The sequence below is a fragment of the Homo sapiens genome, chromosome 17 (assembly GCF_000001405.40).
Source record: "Homo sapiens chromosome 17, GRCh38.p14 Primary Assembly".
NCBI classification, from domain to species: domain Eukaryota; kingdom Metazoa; phylum Chordata; class Mammalia; order Primates; family Hominidae; genus Homo; species Homo sapiens.
This window is the reverse complement of record NC_000017.11, coordinates 10,088,048-10,106,906: the sequence shown is the minus strand read 5'-3', so window position 1 is coordinate 10,106,906 and position 18,859 is coordinate 10,088,048. Positions and strand designations below refer to the sequence as shown.

Here is an 18,859-nt window from a genome sequence, read left to right as displayed (position 1 = left end):
AATCCAGAATAACTCCCCCACCTCAAAATCCTTAAGTCAGTCATGCCCTACAAAGTCCCTTTTGCCATATAAGGTAACATTCACAGGTTCTGGTGATTAAGATATTAATATATTTGGGGGGGGGGGCACTTTCAAGCCTACCACAGCGGGTATCTTTTAATAATTGAAGAAGAGCAGGTTTGTGTGAGAGGACGTTATTCGCCAAGTCGGTCACTCCCCAGGAGTTCTGAGTTGCTGGAATTGGTTAAGTGATCTTTAACTAGAGGCTGGGAAGGGTGTGTGGGTGGGAGCGAGGATGAAGAGAGGTTGAGCTATTCATGTTGAAGGTCTAATGCTCTAAAGATGCAAATCTCAAATCTCCTAAGGAAGGTGGAAAAAGTACAGAGATTCAGACTCTATCCTGCTTCCGTGAGCCTGGACCTGTGTGTTCTTCATTAGCTCTCCCGGTGATTCTGATCCTCAGCAAAGTTTGAGACTGTTGAATTTTAGACATGGTCTTGGGGATTATCTGTGTGCCTGCACATGGGATGTGAGACTTCTTGAGTAAGAGCCAAAGCTGGGCTGCAGACAGGTGCTGGAGAAGATCAGAGGAGGGGCCGGTGTCTGCGGAGGAGCCGCCACCCGAGCCACACCTGGAAGGTAAGAGAAGGTGTGGCCTTCCCTGAGAAGCAGGGCAGGTGCTCCAAGCAGAGGGAGAGGCCTTACCAGCAGCACCGAGGTAGGAATACGCATGGCACTTTTGGGGATGTGGAGGCTATTTGGGACCAGAAGATGGAGGAACCGGGAGTTGATATGACAAGAGGAATGTTAGTAGGAGTAACGTGCTAATGTTTGCAGGGTTGACTGGAGGGCAGAGGTAGGATTCTGTTTATAGTACTGCCCAGGAGGAGAGGATAAAGGCCCCGCCTGGGTGGTGGCAGGGATAATGATGAGAAGGTGATGGTTGTGAGAGACTCGAGAGGAAATACGAACATGGCAAGGTCTGGCAGTCCACTAACACTTACTGAGCAGAGTCATCGGGCAGATGCAGGAGGAGGAGCTGGAATGCAGTGGTGAGTAAGACTACCCAGGTCCCTGATCTCACGAGTATACTTTGGGGTGGAGAGGTGGGGTAGAGTTGGGGAATAAGCTGACAGACGCAAACAAGAAAGGCATGAGCTAGTGATACGTGCTCTGCAGTTACACGGGCTCATGCGATTGGGAGGAAGTGGGTGGCTTCTTTGGATTGGGAGCTTAGGGAAGGCCTCTCTGGAGCGGTGACGCTTAAACTGTTGTCTGGATGACAAGAAGCAGCTGGCCACAGGGAGGGGAAGGGGAACAGCATTCCAGGCAGAGGTGACAGCAAGTGCAAAAGTGTCATGCAAGATCAGACCTGCCTCATCCTGGGAATGCTAGAACAGCACAGTCCAATAGAAATTTCTGCAGGGACAGGGATGCTCTAGGCCTGTACCATCTAACATGGTAGCCACTAGTCACATGGGACCGCTGAGCACTTGCAAAATGGCTAGTGAGACCAAGGAACTGAATTTTATTTGAGTTTGAATAAGAGTCAAAGCTGGGCTGCAGGCAGGTGCTGGAGAAGATCAGAGGAGGGGCCGGTGTTTGTGGAGGAGCCACCACCTGAGCCACACCACACCTGGAAGGCAAGAGAAGGTGTGGCTTCCCCCTAAAAGCAGGGCAGGTGCTCCAAGCAGAGGGAGACGCCTTACCAACGGCGTCGGGTAGGAATACGCATGGCATGTTTGCATTCTATTTGAGTTTCAATTAATTTAATTTTAACTTTAAATAGCCGTATGTGGCCAGAGTCTCCTGCATTGGACAGCACAGAGCTAGAAGGTCAGGGTGGCTGGAGGGGAAGAGCAGAAAACAGTGTAAGGTGAGGTAGTCAGAGGCAGGCTTTATTGCTTTATGAATTAGGGTAAATGGTTTGGGTTGGTTTTTCTAGGAGTAGTGCAAAGCCTTGGGATGATTTTAGTTACAAGGCTGACATAATTTGATGGATGTTTTATAAGTTCCCTCTGGCTGCAATGTGAGAATGAATTGGAGGGGATGAAAAGTGGAACAAGAAGATCATCGTAATAATGTAGGGAACAGCATGGCAGCAGTGGAGAAGGAAAATGTGGATGGATCAGGATGTTTTAGAGATAGAACTGATAGGTGAGAGGAATTGGATGTGGAAGGTGTGTGGACTTGAGAATCCTAGATTTTGGGGTGTAAGCAACAGGATGATAGATGGTGGTACCATTTATTAAAATGAGTTATGGAGAGCAGGTCTAGTTTTGTTTTTGGAAGTGAAGAAAATGAGTCATTAGATTCGTTAGATTCCTCCTGAGCATCAGCATAGGGATGATAGGTAGCCAGGTGGCCATGGGTCTGGAGAGCTGGGACAGGTCAGGGCTAGAGATATTAATTTAGAGTCATTGGGAATAGAGAATGTCTGAAGCTATGGAACAGGGTCAGGCCACTACAGGGAGTGAGTAGATAGAAAAGAGGTGGGGCAGGAGTGAGCTCTGGGCACTGTGACATTTAAGAACACACAGAGGATGATCCAAAAAGGTGACTACTTGAGAAAACCCATGAGATGTCATGGGAGCCCAGAGCAGTCATGGTTTCTGGAAAAAGGGGACATTGAATGTTGCTGGCTGGCCAACGACTCTAGAAGAGAGACAGATGCCCTTGGATTTGGTGACAACATGGAGGTCACTGGTGACATTGTGGAGAGTAGGCTCAGTGGAGTGGGAAGGAGGGAATTAGAGGTAAAAGATTCGAAGCCGTGACTACAGGCAACATTTTTGGTGAAAATTTTTTCTGTTAGGAGAAGGAAATGAATAAAGGAATGGAGAACTGGGGTCAAAGGATATATTTATCTTTAATTTTTTAAATTTAAAGGTAGGTATTATGTGCTGATCGGTAGAAAGCAGGTAAGTTGCCTTTGGTAGGAGGAGTTACTGTTGTGGGAGGGAAGGCTGCGAGCGTGGGCTCTGATGTGGGTAGGATAGGATGAATTTGGGCTGTGGGTTGATGAGCAGCTACTATGGGTTCTATGGGTTTGCTTCTTTTTTTTTTTTTTTGAGATTTTTTGAGATGCAGTCTTGCTGTGTCACCCAGGCTGGAGTGCAATGGTGAGATCTTGGCTCACTGCAACCTCTGCCTCCCAGGTTCAAGCAGTTCTCCTGCCTCAGCCTCCCTAGTAGCCGGGATTACAGGCATGTGCCACCACACCCAGCTAATTTTTGTATTTTTGGTAGAGACGGGGTTTCTCCATGTTGGCCAGGCTGGTCTTGAACTCCTGACCTCAGGTGATCCGCCCACCTCGGCCTCCCAAAGTGCTGGGATTACAGGTGGGAGCCATCGCGCCTGGCCGGGTTGTTCCTATCTTTCTAAGTGAAGTGTGAGAGAAAACATTTCCCATCATCTGAGAAATGAAATCGTTGTTTTGGAAAATGGAAAACAGTCTCACTGGGCAGCTAGAGTAGGGTCGCTAGATGGCATGAGCTGTGCTTCTCAAATTTAAATGTGCAAACCAACTACATGGGGGTTGGTTGGTTGGTTTGTTTGAGACAGGGTCTTAACCTATCACCCAGACTGGATGGAGTACAGTGTTACAGTCACAGCTCTCACTGCAGCCTCTACTCCCCAGGCTCAGGTGATTCTCCCACCTTAGCCTCCTGAGTAGCTAGGACCACAAGTGTGCACCACCACGCCTGGCTAATTTTTTTAGAGGAGGGGTTTTGCCATATTGCCCAGGCTGGTCTCAAACTCCTGGGCTCTTAGCAATCTGCCCACCTCGGCCTCCCAAAATGCTGGGATTACAGGTGTGAGCCACTACGTCCGGTCAGGGTTTGTTAAAATGCAGATTCTGCATTTCTAACAAGCTTCTAGGCGACAGGAATGCTGCTGGTGCCTCCCTGGATCCCACTCTGAGGATCGAGATTCCACAGCCCTTCCTCAATGGGAAGTTTAGGAAGAGACAGTTTCCTAAAATGTGTCCAGGATATGCCTAATTACTCGCCTATTGAACATTCATTTGGGGCAGAGTAAGCAAGAGTTGAGTGCCTGTTTGGGATTTGTGGCTCTCCGTTTAAAATGGGTCTTGTCAATGTTGGAATTATCTGGGGAACATAAAGACCCGGAAACCAAACCAAAAAAAAAAAACAGGGCCTGGGTATTTTGATTTTGATGGAGGTTGTGAATTAATTGGTATAGAGTGTGTCCTGGGTACCCTACTTTAAAAAATCTCCTCTGGTAATTCAGATGCTCATCCAGGCTTGAGAAGTCTGGATTTAAAATACCAGGTCAGGGGATGACCACTGGAATAGGTAGCCAAGGTGGTGTGGAGGCAGGGCTGCCCCTAGAACGTGTGGGCACTTGTCTATGTAAGCAATGTGGGTCACTCAAAATCAGCATGCGGAGGCCATTCTAGCTGCCCAACCTTGCGTAGTCCCACCAAAGAAATACTTAGTCAGCTAGCCGACTAAGAGATTAGACTACTATGCTGGAAACTCTGATTTTCATGGCTGGGACAGTAGGAATTAGTTCTCCTTGAAAATTCCAGACTCTTTGTACAAATTACCCTTAATTTCAGCTGAATTGGTGTAGCATAATTCAGGGGTCACCTTGTGCTCCCCTCTGAATTAGAAGGCTGAATCTCAGTGGTCAACAATGGGGAAGATTCTTTTTTTTTTTTTTTTTTTTTTTTTTACGGGCACTCTTTCTTTTCTTCCTTCTAGATCAATCAGATTTCTTTCAGTGCGTTTTCAAAACTCATTCAGCTTAGATCTGGTTTGTTTTCTTCCTTGAAAAAAAATGTATTAATATAATACCACAATCTCTGAGCTAAACAATGACCCTATAGGCCCACTGTTCAGAGCTCCTTGGGGTGTCTGGATTACCTTATGCATGGGCACTATTTGGGGAGGGAGTTGCTTAGATGGTTCTGCCAGTCTCTGCTGGTCCCAGACCCCTTAGAAAATTTCATAGAAGACAGGCAGAGGGCAGGGCCCCATGTACCAGGCAGCCTGGCCAAGAACCAGGGCAGAAGCACAAAGAGCGTGAAAAACTGAGAAGCCAACTTAGATGGGTCCTGGCATCCCTTTGCCAAAACGCATGGTGGGAACAGTGATAGAAGTCAGGGGCTAATGCTTCTCTTTAACCAATGAGAGGGAGTGCCTGGAAGAGTCAGCCATGACTGTAACAAGGAGTTGTGGTAAAGTCCGAGGGACCCTGGGTTTTAAGTGGTAGCAGCCCAAGTCAAACCAGCTGAGCGACAGTCACAGAGTGTGGGGTGCAGGGATTTATTGGCCCTCATGAATGAAAAGCCCACAGGCGTGTGGCTGTAGGTACCGCCTGTTCTAGAGATGTGTTAGGTGGCCTCTAAGATGGCTTTCTGTGCTCCCTGCCTCCTGGTCACTCTTGTGTAATCCCTTCCCCTTGAGTGTGGGCGGGACACAGTAACTTGCTTCTAACAATAGATATGACAGAATGTCACTCCTGAGAGCAGGTAACAAAATGGCCGTGGCTTCCGCCATGCTTGTTTTCTCTTGCCTGCTTGCTGGTTGGCTGTCCTAGGGAGAGACGCATGTGGCAAGAAACTAACAAATGCCTCAACAGCCTCAACATGAATGAGTTTGGAAGCAGATTCTCCTCTGATTGAGACTTATGGTGACTACAGCCCTGGCTGACATCTTGATTGTAGCCTTGGGAGAGACCCTGGGTAAGGCTCGGGGTCTGGGAAAACCATGCGTGGATACCTGCTCCCCAGAAACTGAATCCATAAGTGACCATATTTGGTTTTTTTTGTTTTTGAGATGGGGTCTTGCTATGTTGCTTAGACTGGTCTGGACCTCCTGGGCTCAAGTGATCCTCCTGCCTCAGCCTTCCGAGTAGCTGGGATTACAGGCATGAGCCACTGCACGTGGCCAAATGACTGTTGTTTTAAGTCGCTAATTTTTGGGCAAATTTGTTACACCCAGTAAATAACCAATAGAAGAAGCAAAGGCAGTGTCATCAGAAATCTCCATCTCTAGGCTTTGCATCCCTCTGTTTTAGCTTCATTTTCTAGCTTAGCAATCTTCTCAGAAAACCCTTTTTATCCCGCTTTGGAATTATGAAGTTTTTAGAATCTTTCTGACTCTAAAAACTTTCTGATTCTAAAGACTTTAGAGTCTTTCTGATTCTAAAAACTTCGTAATTCCAAAGAGGGGAAAAAAACCAGGAAAGTCACCTAGCAGCTTTCAGATGGAGCCTGGATGGGGGGGTTGGGAGGTGGATCAGCCCCATCCTCACCACCTGGGCTGAGAAGGGAGCAAATGCAAGTCAGCTGATACCTGAGGGAGGAGAATGGATGTCTACCCACAATGGTAACTGGTAAGATATGGTAGTGATGGAATCCTTGCTCTCACCTGGATGGGATTTGAGAGATCCGGTCTAGCTCTCAGGCAGAGATGGAAGCAGGATGGTTAGTGTTAGAGAAGTTGTAGAGACCTGAAGGAATAGAGGGCAGAGAGGAGACCTCTGGGAAGTGGCATTCTGTGCTGAACTTTGTGTGAGTCCATGTGCCTGAATCCACACAAAGGGAGAAAAAGATGCTGAGGAAATCAAGATGAACAGATACAGATCATTTCTTTGAGTGTCCGGCAACATGTTTTTGATCATCTGTGCTAAATAGGAGATAAGGTTGCAGGTTGAGCTAGAAATATAATGAAATCAACCACAAAAAGTCAAGGATGTAAAGAGCCGTGTATCAATTGTTCAGTTCAATTATATTTTAAATCCGAATAATTCCACTGAGTCTTCTTTTAACCCAAAGTTTTCATTTCCTCTTTCGGAGCCTTTAAACTCCTAATAAGGAGGATAATAGATGGATCTCAACCTCCTCTTTTCTTGTCTCTTTCCATTCCTGATCTTCTATGTAGGTGCTAAGGGAACTGGTCTAAGAAGCTAAGAATATTTCTTGAACCCATTAGGACAGAAGAGTGTTCTGGCCTTCCACTGTCCACTGTCCCTGTTATATGCTTTTAGAGATTGACACAGTCTTAAGTCTTAAGTGAATTTGGAAGAAAGGTAACGAATTACACTCTTAGGTTTTGAATATATTAGGTTGGTGAGAGGGTATACCTTGGGGAGAAGGCCAGGGCAGAGGGCACCTAAGGACTGGGACACTTAGGTGCTGCACCCAGGGTGACTAATCTTGCAAAAGTCACAGAGATTCAGCTTCCCTTTCAAAATGAAGAGTTGTATATGTACACACATTTGCATTGTTATATCTGGCTATGCCTTGCCCAGGATGGGTCTCTTTCCTATTGTGTGGAATGTCTCCACTCCCCCGCCGTCCAAAAAAAAGTACATTGGAGGAGAAATTAAGCAATGTAATTCATTCTTCACTTTCGGCACCCCCAGTGCAGGGTGCCCTGCCAGAACCACTCCAGGGCGGTGGAAAGATGCTGCTCTCGGATCACTTAACAGCATGACGGTGTTTAAACTTTTCACCGGCCAGAAAGATTTGCAAAGTCCCTGCCTGCTCTGGTTGTACCCTGCTGCAGGCAGATCTGCCTCTTTCGGCGTCTGTGGTAGAAGCCTCACAGGGCCATGTGGAACCTGTTTTGGGGAGGGCTCCCCAGGAATGCACCCTAAGCTTAGCAGTGGGCTGGTGGAACAGGCGCTGTTTGGTAAATGGGTGGGCAGAGGGAGGGTTTGGATGGGTGTGTCTCCACCTCTCCATGCATTTTCTGATGACTCACAGGCTTATTACTGGAAGGGGCCTCTGAGATAGATTATTAAATCCAGCAGGCCTATTTCACAAGCATAAGGAGACAGGGCTTAGAGAAAGTCCTGCTACTAGCTAATGGAGAGCTGACATTCGGTACCCATCTCTCACCTCCATGCCCATGGCCACAACTCTGCCCTTCATCTAACCTGTGTTATCTGCATTCTTTTTTTATTTTCTTTTTTTGAGATGGAGTCTCGCTCTGTCATCCAGGCTGGAGTGCAGTGGCACGATCTTGGCTCACTGCAAGCTCCGCCTACCGGGTTCACGCCATTCTGCCTCAGCCTCCCAAGTAGCTGGGACTACAGGTGCCCGCCACCACACCCGGCTAATTTTTTGTATTTTTAGTAGAGACAGGGCTTCACCGTGTTAGCCAGGATGGTCTGGATCTCCTGACCTCGTGATCCGCCCATCTCAGCCTCCCAAAGTGCTGGGATTACAGGCATCAGCCACCGCGCCCGGCCACCTGTTTTATCTGTGTTCTGAAGGAGAGTGCCTGGCTAGGGATATGCCCACTTCCCATGGCTCTGAGCCAATCCTTGTAGCTCCTGTCATACCTATTGTAGCATATAATCCCACTTTACACTCTTCCTCTGCTGTCTCGGCCACTGGGACAAGAAGGTCTGACCCACCTTTGGCAAACAAAGGCTTCTTTCTTGCTTGGAGCCTGAACCACCTCATCACCTCATCACCCTGCATCCTCGTTAGGTTCATTTTGTGGTGGATGGAGAGATCTGGGCAAAAGCAGCCACTACAGGACAGCGTGGAAGACAGCAGTGGGCAGCCCTGGCTGCATGGGGTGAGTGGAGAGTTGTGGCTGGAGGTGTCTTTTGGCAGCAGCTGGGGAAGCCACCTCCTGCTCTCCTGGCCAGGCTAGTCCTAGAGGGAGGTCCCCACAGCTGTCCCTACCCCTTGTAGCCCGCGGCTCCAGCTCACTCTTTATTCCATGTGCTCTGGGTGCCCAAGAGTCTCCTGGAGAGAAGAAAAGGGTGGCATAAGGTGAATGGGGGCATGGAGTGGCACAGAAGTTTGGGGACACCCCAGGGTCTCTTGGGCACAAGGAGGCGAGTCCCAATGTACACTTTTTTTTTTTTTTTTGAGATGGAGTCTTGCTCTGTCACCCGGGCTGGAGTGCAGTGGCACGATCTTGGCTCATTGCGACCTCTGCCTCCTGGGTTCAAGTGATTCTCCTGTCTCAGCCTCCCAAATAGCTGGGATTACAGTCGCCTGCCACCACCTGTGGCTAATTTTTATATTTTTAGTAGAGACGGGGTTTCGCTATGTTGGCCAGGCTGGTCTCGAACTCCTGACTTCAGGTGATCTGCCCGCCTCGGCCTCCCAAAGTGCTGGGATTACAGGGGTGAGCCACCGTGCCTGGCCCCCAGTGTACATTTTTTACCACCCACCCCCTGACCCAGAGCGAGGGCAGAGGTTGCCTAGTGTGTACCTGTCGTGCCTGCCATACCTGCCTGCGGATTCCGATAGAAGCACAGAGCCCACATGGGTTATTACGGCTCTGAGGTCCTGAGTTTGTAAAAATGTGAAAAACTCAGCAGCCTGGAAGGGATCTCATGGAGGCCAGGGCTTTGTGCTTGTGCCCTGCAAGAGCTGCTGCACCTGCTTCACCTGATTTGTGTGTCCAGTGTGTCCTGCTCGCCCTGCTTTTTTGGAGGTGAGCTGTGTGCCCCGGTTCCTCTCGTCACCCTGGGAATGTGGCTGTGTGTAAGATCTATACCTGGCAGAGCCCCGAGAGACTGAGTAACCCCATCCGGGGAGTCTCTCTTCTGCTCTGCCATCTTCCTCCCATTCAGTCAAGCAAGTATTTTTTGAGTCACCTTCTGGGTTAATGCAGAGATGTTGTGAGTGGGCCCTGACCACTGCCATAGGAGCTTGCGGTCTTGTTGGAAGAGCCGAGTTTAAGCAGGGAACTGTAGTAAATGTATTCAGAATGTTATGGGGGCTCAGAGAAGGGAGAGGAAGGTGAGGAGGCCTTACAGAGGAGTAGGATTCCCCAAGACTAGAGAGGGAAGGCAGCCCAGCGCCAGAGATCGGCGTGGGCAAAGGCACAGAGACATCAGAGGAATGCTTGGGAATTAAATAAGGCAGCTGGCTTGAAAAGTTTTTTGGGGTATTTGTTGTGTTTTTGATTTAGAAAATGTCTGGCATAGCTGCAGGGTGAGGGGATGGTGAGATGATGAGGGAAGGAAGGAAATTGCAGCCTCGGATGGGACCCTTTCTATTGCAAAGGCTAGAAAACCAGCCCAGTATGGCTTAAGCCAAGAAGGGCGTGTTTTGGACGCCACTCGTGGATCCGTAGGTTCTGTGGCTACAGGATCCAAAGATGTCAGGATGTGCGCTTTCTCACTTGAGCTGCACGTTGGAAGCTGGCAGCTCCAGACTGGTATCCTCCCTGCGCTGAGACCATTGGCAAAAGACAGCTCCTTTTCCATAAGATGAAGCCCCATGAAATGGAGTGGCTTGTCAGAACCAGGTGCTGGTTCTGAATTGACTGGGTGATGGCCTTAGGCCTGGGTCTGTTGGGTGGGTAGTGCTGTCCATACCTGAGAATGGAGAAGTGTGGCTCCCCACAGGAAAATGGAGTGCCATCCTTGGAAGAAGGCCACTGTGGGGTATGCAGGCCCAAGTGACAGATTCCTCATTGGCTTACCACAACATGGAAGCTCCCTGAAGGACTTGTGCTTGGATTTTGCCTGTAGGGCCCATTAGAAGTTATTTTGAGTGAGGACACCCTCCCCTGGCAAACAGAAGAGGGGAGGCATTTGGAGGCACAGAAAAAACTTGGAGAGATCTTGGCAGTTGAGTACAGGGGATTTGGGAAGTGGTTGACTGTAGGGAATTTGATAAATTGAAAAGTCTGATTTTGGTTTGGCTTCTAGGGACTATAACATAGAAAATATATATATATGTGGCAGAGACTGGTTGGGGCAAACAGAATTTGCCTTTGCATATCCTGAATTTGAGGTGTCAGTGGCCTGTGATTCTCAGACTGAGTGTGCTTTATCAGACAAGTTGGGGCCTTGGCGCAGACTTGGGAGTGATCTGCAGAGACGCTGCTGAGGGAGCAGATGAACCTGGCAAGAGAATGCTGTGGGGGAGAAAGCAGGACCAGGGATGGAGCCCCAAGGAACATACCCGCAATGGGCACAGCCAGGTTGAGGAATGAGGAGGAACAGGAAGGTGGATCAGTGACTTCAGAGAACACGTCATTCTGCAAAGGAAGGGAAAGGACTGGGTTAAAGAGGTTTGTGCTGTTTGTAGGGGATGGAGCACACGGGCAGAGGTGTTAAGATCTGAGAACCTTATTTTTTTTTTTTTTTTTGAGATGGAGTCTCGCTCTGTCACCAGGCTGGAGTGCAGTGGCATGATCTCAGCTCACTGCAACCTCTGACTCTCCTGCCTTAGCCTCCCGAGTAGCTGGGATTACAGGCATGCACCACCATGCCCAGCTAATTTTTGTATTTTTGGAAGAGACAGGGTTTCACCATGTTGGCCAGGATGGTCTCGATCTCCTGACCTTGTGATCCGCCCGCCTCAGCCTCCGAAAATGCTGGGATTACAGGCATGAGCCACTGCGGCCAAGATCTGAGAAACTTACACATTTGTCATCAAACTGGACCTTCAAAGGATGAATTTTATTGTCTATAAATTCCACTGCCACAGGCCAGCCGTGGTGACTCACGCCTGTAATCTCAGCACTTTGGCAGGATCACTTGAGCCCAGGAGTTCGAGGGCCCAGTGATTTCTGGAGAATTTGGGATAGCAGTTCCTTCTGGAATAAAGAATGGTCAGATCAGGAAGGGACACTCAGAAAGCTTCATGGAGTTTACTTTATTATGCTACACATTTATGTGTTATGCAATTTTTGTGTATATTATGTTGTCTAATCAAAGTTTAGAAAATAGATTTCAGGGAATACCAATATACCTTCCTATGTGCCAGGTGTAATTTACACTTCTTGGCACATTCAGCGTCCATAAGAGCCCTGTAAGGAGGGTCCTATTATCATTGTCAATGCGTGAGGAAACCTAGGCACAGGAAGTTGTGCAGCTGGGACTTGAACCTAGGCCATCTGGTTCCAGAGCCCTTTTTGTTAAAGGCCGCGTGGAAAGATTGCATGTGGCGATCTGGAGGCCATCCAGTTGAGTGCTGAGGGGTGGAAATCATATTGCGGATGACAGAAATGGAAATGAAGGGAGAGTAAGGCAGTGAGAAGGTTGTTAAAAGACGGGATGATAAACTGTATCTTCTTGCTCTGCCTGAATGGTGGTTACAAAGACTTACTGTTTTATTAAATTCTGTTAATCCCCTCGTGAGGCAGGTTTTTAGCATCACTGTTTTAAAGATCCAGAGAGTGGCCGGGCGCGGTGGCTCACACCTGTAATCCCAGCACTTTGGGAGGCCGAGGCGGGCGGATCATGAGGTCAGGAGATCGAGACTATCCTGGCTAACACGGTGAAACCCTGTCTCTACTAAAAATACAAAAAATTAGTCAGGCGTGGTGGCGCGTGTCTGTGGTCTCAGCTACTTGGGAGTCTGAGGCAGGAGAATTGCTTGAATCCAGGAGGCGGAGGTTGCAGTGAGCCGAGATCGCGCCGCTGCACTACAGCCTGTGCTACAGAGCAAGACTCTGTCTCAAAAAAAAGAAAAAAAAGAAAAAGAAAAAGAAATATCCAGAGAGTTCCCATGGCTCGCCTAAGGACAGAGGTAGGCAGTGGAAGGGACCTGGAGCTCTGGCCTTATGACCTGTATTCTTTTAACTCTTGTGTTGATACTGTGACTGTGAGGTCCTGACAGCTGGCAGCTGAGCTCATATCCTTCAGGAATGACCCAGCTGTGCATTCAGGGAGATACCAGGTGTTTTCTCTCTGCTAAGTAAGTGGGTACCACACAGGGCACAGCTGCTCAGCTAACTGCCAGGGCTTGCTGAGTGCCTGGGGCCTGCAAGCTGCTGATCTTGGGGTCTTTGCCTTAGGTTAGCGATTAGCAGTCTGTAACCCATGGACCATTGGTCGTATTCCTTAGGTTCATGGCAGCTGCCATAGGTCTGTGCTGAGGAAGAGGGATAAGCAGCAAAGAGTTGTCCCCTATTTGCAAGCTGATTTGATGTACCCATCACTTAGTCCATGGGTTAAGGAAGTTCCCACATCTTTGCTTCTTATGCCAGAAGGGGACCTTGATGGCTGTCTCCTGAGAGGGTGCTGAGCCATGTCTGATTTCTTGGGAGTGGCTAACCAGCAAAGGATTTAAAATGAGAGGTTTCAATAACACGTATTGAAATACGTAGTAGTAGATGAAATACATAGTAGATGAAATACGTAGTAGTGTTCAGTGAAAAAAATGGGGTCAGCTGAACATAGAGTCTAATGTCAACTGTATTAAGAATAAATTTCGTGAAATACTCATAGCAGGATTGTAGGTATTTGATTTTTTCCCCGCATAACAACTGTTCGTAGGATTGCAGGTGGTGGGAGGGAAGCTTTTGGCCCCTCTTTCCATGGGAGCTCCTGATTTTGATTCTTGTTTTAAGCCCTCAGCAAGCTTTTCAGCTTTTTTTTTTTTTTTTTTTTTGAGACGGAGTCTCACTCTGTTGCCAGGCTGATCTTGGCTCACTGCAACCTCTGCCTCCTGGGTTCAAGCGATTCTCCTGCTTCAGCCTCCTGAGTAGCTGGGACTCAGGCGTGTGCCACCATGCCCAGCTAATTTTTGTATGTTTAGTAGAGACTGGGTTTTACCATGTTAGCCAGGATGGTCTCAATCTGTTGACCTTGTGATCTGCCCGCCTCCCAAAGTGCTGGGATTACAGGCGTGAGCCACCATGCCCAGCTGCTTTTCAGCCTTTTAAAAAACTCAATATAAAGGCTCAGGATATTAGATATGAATGGACTCATAGAAGCAACAGCTTCCTTATAAAGGTGAGATAGTGGGGGCTTGACAAGGGGTTGGTCTTGTCCAAGGTTGTGTAGCATTGGGACTAGAGCACAGTCTCCCGAACCCTTTCCTAAAACCCTAAAACACAGCAACGACATTGACATAAGTGAGCAGCAGCACAGTTAGCGAGTATGGTGGACTAAAGACTGGCTCCTACAGATATTCAGGTCCTTATCCTTAGAGTCTGTGAACTTACCTTATATGGCAAGACGGATTTTGCAGATGTGGTTAAGTTAAGGATTTGGGGACTAGGAGGTTATTTTGGATTATCTGGGTGGGTCCTAAATGCAATCACAACTGTGCCTCTGAGAGAGAGAGGGAGATTTTGCCAACACATACAGAGGAGAAGGTGATGTGACCATGGAGACAAAGATCAGGGTGATGCAACCACAAGCCAAGGAATGCTGGCAGCTACCAGAGAATCTGGAAGAGACAAGGAACAATTTTCCCCTAGAGCCTCCAAGGGGGGCGTGGCCCTCCTGACACCTTGATTTTTGACTTGGTTTTGGACTTCTGACCTCAGAATATTGTAAGAGAAAACATGTGGGTTGAAGCCAAGAGGTTTGTGATTGTTACAGCAGTCATATGAAACTAATGCAGCAAGCACTTGTCAAAGTCAACCTGTTGAACGCTCACCTGCCAAGATGTCCCTTGGGGAAAAAATATCCCTGGACAAATAACTTTGAACCTTAGGGAACATCTGCATGGACATTCATTCATTTAACCTGTTTCTATTGAACAGCAGTTGTGTGTCAGGCTCTATTTTGGGTGCTGGCCATTTCTAACACAGTCCCTGCCCTCACTGTTTAGATTCTGCTGGGGAAAGCAGACCACTAAAAGCCACTAACTGTATAACAAAATATCAGGCTAGTAGTGTACTGTTTTCCTCTCTCAGAGCAAAGGGTGGCAGGAGATGGTATTTTAGATGCGGTTGGCAGGGACAGTCTTGGGTTGGTAACATTTGAGCAAAGACTTGAATGAAATGAGGGAGCAGCCTTGTAGGTGTCGGAGGAAAGAATGTTCCAGAGAGAGAGAGAATACATGTGCGAAGTCAGAGAGGTGGACACCGACTTGGCCTGTGTGAGGACTCAGAGGAGGCCATTGTGTCTGGAATAGGGGGAGAAACGGGGGAGACTGTTTAGGCCACTATAGACATGGGATTTTACTTTGAGGAAGGTGGGTGTCCACTGAAGATGTTTTAGTCAGGGCACATTTTTTTTTTTTTAAATTGAGACAAAATTTTATGACACAAAAAGTTTCATGATGGCTGGATGGATCCCAGGAGTTTGAGACCAGCCTGGGCAAACATGGCAAAACCCTCTCTCTACAAAAAAATTACAAAACTTAGCCAGATATGGTGGCATGTGCCTGCAGTCCCTGCTACTCAGGAGGCTGAAGTGGGAGGATCACTTGAGTCCAGGAGGTCGCGGCTGCAGTGAGCCGAGATGGTGTCACTGCACTCCAGCCTGGGTGACACAGCTAGACTCTGTCTCAAAAACAAAACCCCAGCTGGGCGTGGTGGCTCACACCTGTAATCCTAGCACTTTGGGAGACCGAGGCAGGCAGCTCACGAGGTCAAGAGATCGAGACTATCCTGGCCAATATAGTGAAGCCCCATCTCTACTAAAAATACAAAAATTAGCTGGGTGTGGTGGTGGGCACCCGTAGTCCCAGCTACTCGGGAGGCTGAGGCAAGAGAATCGCTTTAACCTGGGAGGCGGAGGTTGCAGTGAGCTGAGATCCCACCACCGTGCTCTAGCCTGGGGACAGAGCAAGACTCCGTCCCAAACAAACAAACAAAACCCAAAAAAGTCACCACTCTAAAGTAAACAGTTCGGTGGCATTTGGTACATTCACAATGTTGTACAACCGTTACTTCTCTCTCATTCCAAACATTTTCATCATCCCCAAAGGAGACCTCATGCTCATTAAGCAGTCAGTCCCCAGCCACTCAGCCCCTGACAACCACCCATCTGCTTTCTGTCTCTGTGGAGTTTCCTGTTGTGCTAGATTTTTAATGGGTCTTTTTGGAAGGATCACTCTGGCTGCTGGGTAGAGGATGAATGGGAGGTAAAACATGGCCACAATAAAAGCAGGGAGAGCATTGAGGGGAGCAGGAGCCCTGGGCTGTGCGTGGCCCTTGGTAGGGGTGGAGGAGAGAGGCGGTGAGAAGGGTTGGGAGTCAGGATGGGTTCCATCATTGCCTCTGAGAGTCCTGTGGGGAGAGAAAAGCCTTCTTGGCTTGGTTTCATCCACATTTGACAGTGGAACCCCACTTTTCAAGCGGCTCTCCAGCATGTCGAAGTGTTCAGAACACACACTGATGTGGTGGAAGGAGTGCTGGATTGGACTTGGAGTAATCATGTTCTGAGGTTGCCATCCCGTCGTTTTGAGACTTTGGGCTAGTCACTCCCTATCTGGGCACTCCACGTCCTCATCCAAAAACTGAGGATGTTAACTGGCTTCAGTGATTTCATGCCCTGGCATGAAATTGATGTCATTTGTGAAATGCACTGGCATTGAGGGAAAGCAGGTGTTTTTTTGCAACACCACAACCTGAATTTTTCCCTCTCTGCCAGGCTCTGAAAGCCACGAGTGAGCTGCAGAGAGGGCTAGCATGATGGAGTTTGAAAGAGTTCAGGATTTTAAAGAGCCGTTTAGATTTGCAGTTTCCCATTCTGACGGTGTAGTATGCTTGTGTCTCTGTCGGCTGTGAGGTGTGTTGCAGAGATCTGTTCTTACTAATTCTGAAGTTTGTGAGAGATCTCCTTTTGTGTATAAATCAGGACAAACTCAAGGTTATTCCTGTAACACATACTCTCATTTACATTGCATCCTGGTGTGTGTTCTTTCCTCATTTTCCATGCTGTAAACTGAAAAGCCTTAGTTTTTATTTTAAGCGAAAGGAATAAAATGTCCATCGTTAAAACCAAAATCAAATTGTACTGAAGGACTTAGAATGCAAAACAGCACACTCACACCTCACTCCTCCCCTTTCCAGCCATGCTGCTTTTTTTTTTTTTGGAGACGGAGTCTCTCTCTATTGCCGAGGCTGTAGTGCAGTGGCACGATCTCGGCTCACTGCAACCTCTGCCTCCCGGGTTCAAGCCATTCTCCTGTCTCAGCCTCCCGAGTAGCTGGGATTACAGGCACTCGCCACCATGCCTGGCTAATTTTTCGTATTTTTAGTAGAGGCAGGGTTTCACCATGTTGGCCGGGCTGGTCTCGAACTCCCGGCCTCAAGTGACCTACCTGCCTTGGCCTCCCAAAGTGCTGGGATTAGAGGTGTGAGCCACTGCACCCGGCCTCCAGTCACACTTCTAAGGGTTTGCTTTTAGTTCTCCTGGTGGTTGCCTCCAGAATTTTAAATACAACAATTGTATGTTGTTTCTCGATTTATTAACTTTGAAACTACCAGGTTCCTGTTATAACAGACAAGGAATGACTTCTTTACACTAAGCACTGCCTCTCCTCCTTACCTTTCTCCCCAAGTGTGATGGTTCTCTTATTTTTACTCCTTCTGTGAGCAGGGCCTTTACTGACAACTAGGTTGTAGGAACTGTAGCCAGAATGTGATACCCATGGAATGCTTCTGAAGGACTTAGTTCAAACTAGGGGTTAAAATAAACAGCACTATGAAACTCATGGTCTTTAAATACTTTTTTTTTTTTTTTACTGTGTTCTCTTTCTCTGAACCCGTAGGAGGAATTTCTTTTGGTGTTAGCACAGGAATGGTTGTGCTTGCCCGGAGCAGGTGGTTTATTTTATCTTGAGGACACTGCAGACCATGTAGCCAAGCACACTTCTCCTTTGGTGCTGGCTGCAAAGCTCCATGCCAGATTTGCGGGCTTGCATTTTGTGCTGGAGGATTGGATTGAAGAGGTCTCCAGTTCACCCTGACCTTATCTTTTTTTCTACTGTTATTTTGTCTTCATTTAGTTTTTCACTCTGGGTGACTGGATGGGGGAAGACAGTGCATGGGAACTTTCACTAATTCTTTTTTCTTTTCTTTTCTTTCTTTTTTTTCTTTTTTGAGACAGAGTCTGCTCTGTGGCCCAGGCTGGAGTGCAATGACACGATCTCTGCTCACTGCAACCTCTGCCTCCTGGGTTCAAGCGATTCTCCTGCCTCAGTCTCCTGAGTAGCTGGGATTACAGGCACCTGCCACCATGCCTGGCTCATTTTTTTTGTATTTTTAGTAGAGATGGGGTTTTGCCATATTGGTCAGGCTGGTCTCGAACTCCTGACCTCAGGTGATCTGCCTGCCTCAGCCTCTCAAAGTGCTGGGGTTGCAGGCATGAGCCACCATGCCCGGCCTCCTAATTCTCTTTTCAAATCCTGCTTGTCTCAGAGAAGCTATGGTTCAGCTTGAACCCCCCTCTCCTCCTAGCTTTTCCCTGCTCTGAAATGGGCCCTTTGAACTTGACATCCCTTCCCTGGGTTTTTTGTCTACATTGCATTTTCCCTCCCTTCCAGCATGGGAAGCAACCGCTCCAGAAATAGAGACAGCATGGCAGCTCGCCCTGTATAATTGGGATGATTTATTTCCCTGTTAAAGACACCAGGCTGTGTGAGGATTTACCTTGAATCCATTTAGATGTCATGGCTGAGCCTCGTAAAAAGATGCTTGGCAATTAGTGCTGCGTGGAACTGCCCCTCCTGCCCGGGCTGCACAGATTTAACAAGAGTCAGAGTGGCCAAGGAACTTTATGTTGGGATGCTCGAGTCCCCTTTTCCTGAACCCCTCATTGCCTCAGCCTGGAGGCTCAGAGTATTGGAGTGTTAGAGCCAAAAATGATGGTTGTTGGCAGCCAGCTGCCTGGGGTTTTGTACCTGCCCCTCTATCCCTCCTAAGGTCACCCATGGCCTGTCCCAGTGGTACCCCTAACAGAGCCAGGGTTGTGCTAGCTCACTCCTTATGCATATATACATATTTATTATTATTATTATTATTATTATTATTATTATTATTGAGATAGAGTCTCGCTCTGTTGCCCCGGCTGGAGTGCAGTGGCGCAATCTCAGCTCACTGCAACCTCCGCCTCCTGGGTTCAACTGACTCTCCTTCCTCAGCCTCCCGAGTAGCTGGGATCACAGGCATGCACCACCATGCCTGGCTAATTTTTGTGTTTTTAGTAGAGACAG

The 18,859-nt window shown here is 48.0% G+C and overlaps 1 protein-coding gene across 4 annotated transcripts in view; it reads left to right on the top strand.

The window, feature by feature from the left end:
• GAS7 (growth arrest specific 7) overlaps window positions 1-18,859 on the top strand; it is a 288,001-nt gene that overhangs the window by 91,700 nt on the left and 177,442 nt on the right. The window contains exon 1 of one of the 4 annotated variants that reach the window (XM_047436955.1): window positions 685-718. The exons of 2 other annotated variants lie outside the window; for them this stretch is intronic. The gene's annotated coding sequence lies outside the window, so the exon portion shown is untranslated. Of the gene's footprint in view, window positions 1-684; window positions 1,053-18,859 lie in introns of those variants that run through there. One more of the 4 variants, XM_047436954.1, reaches the window with a different exon arrangement.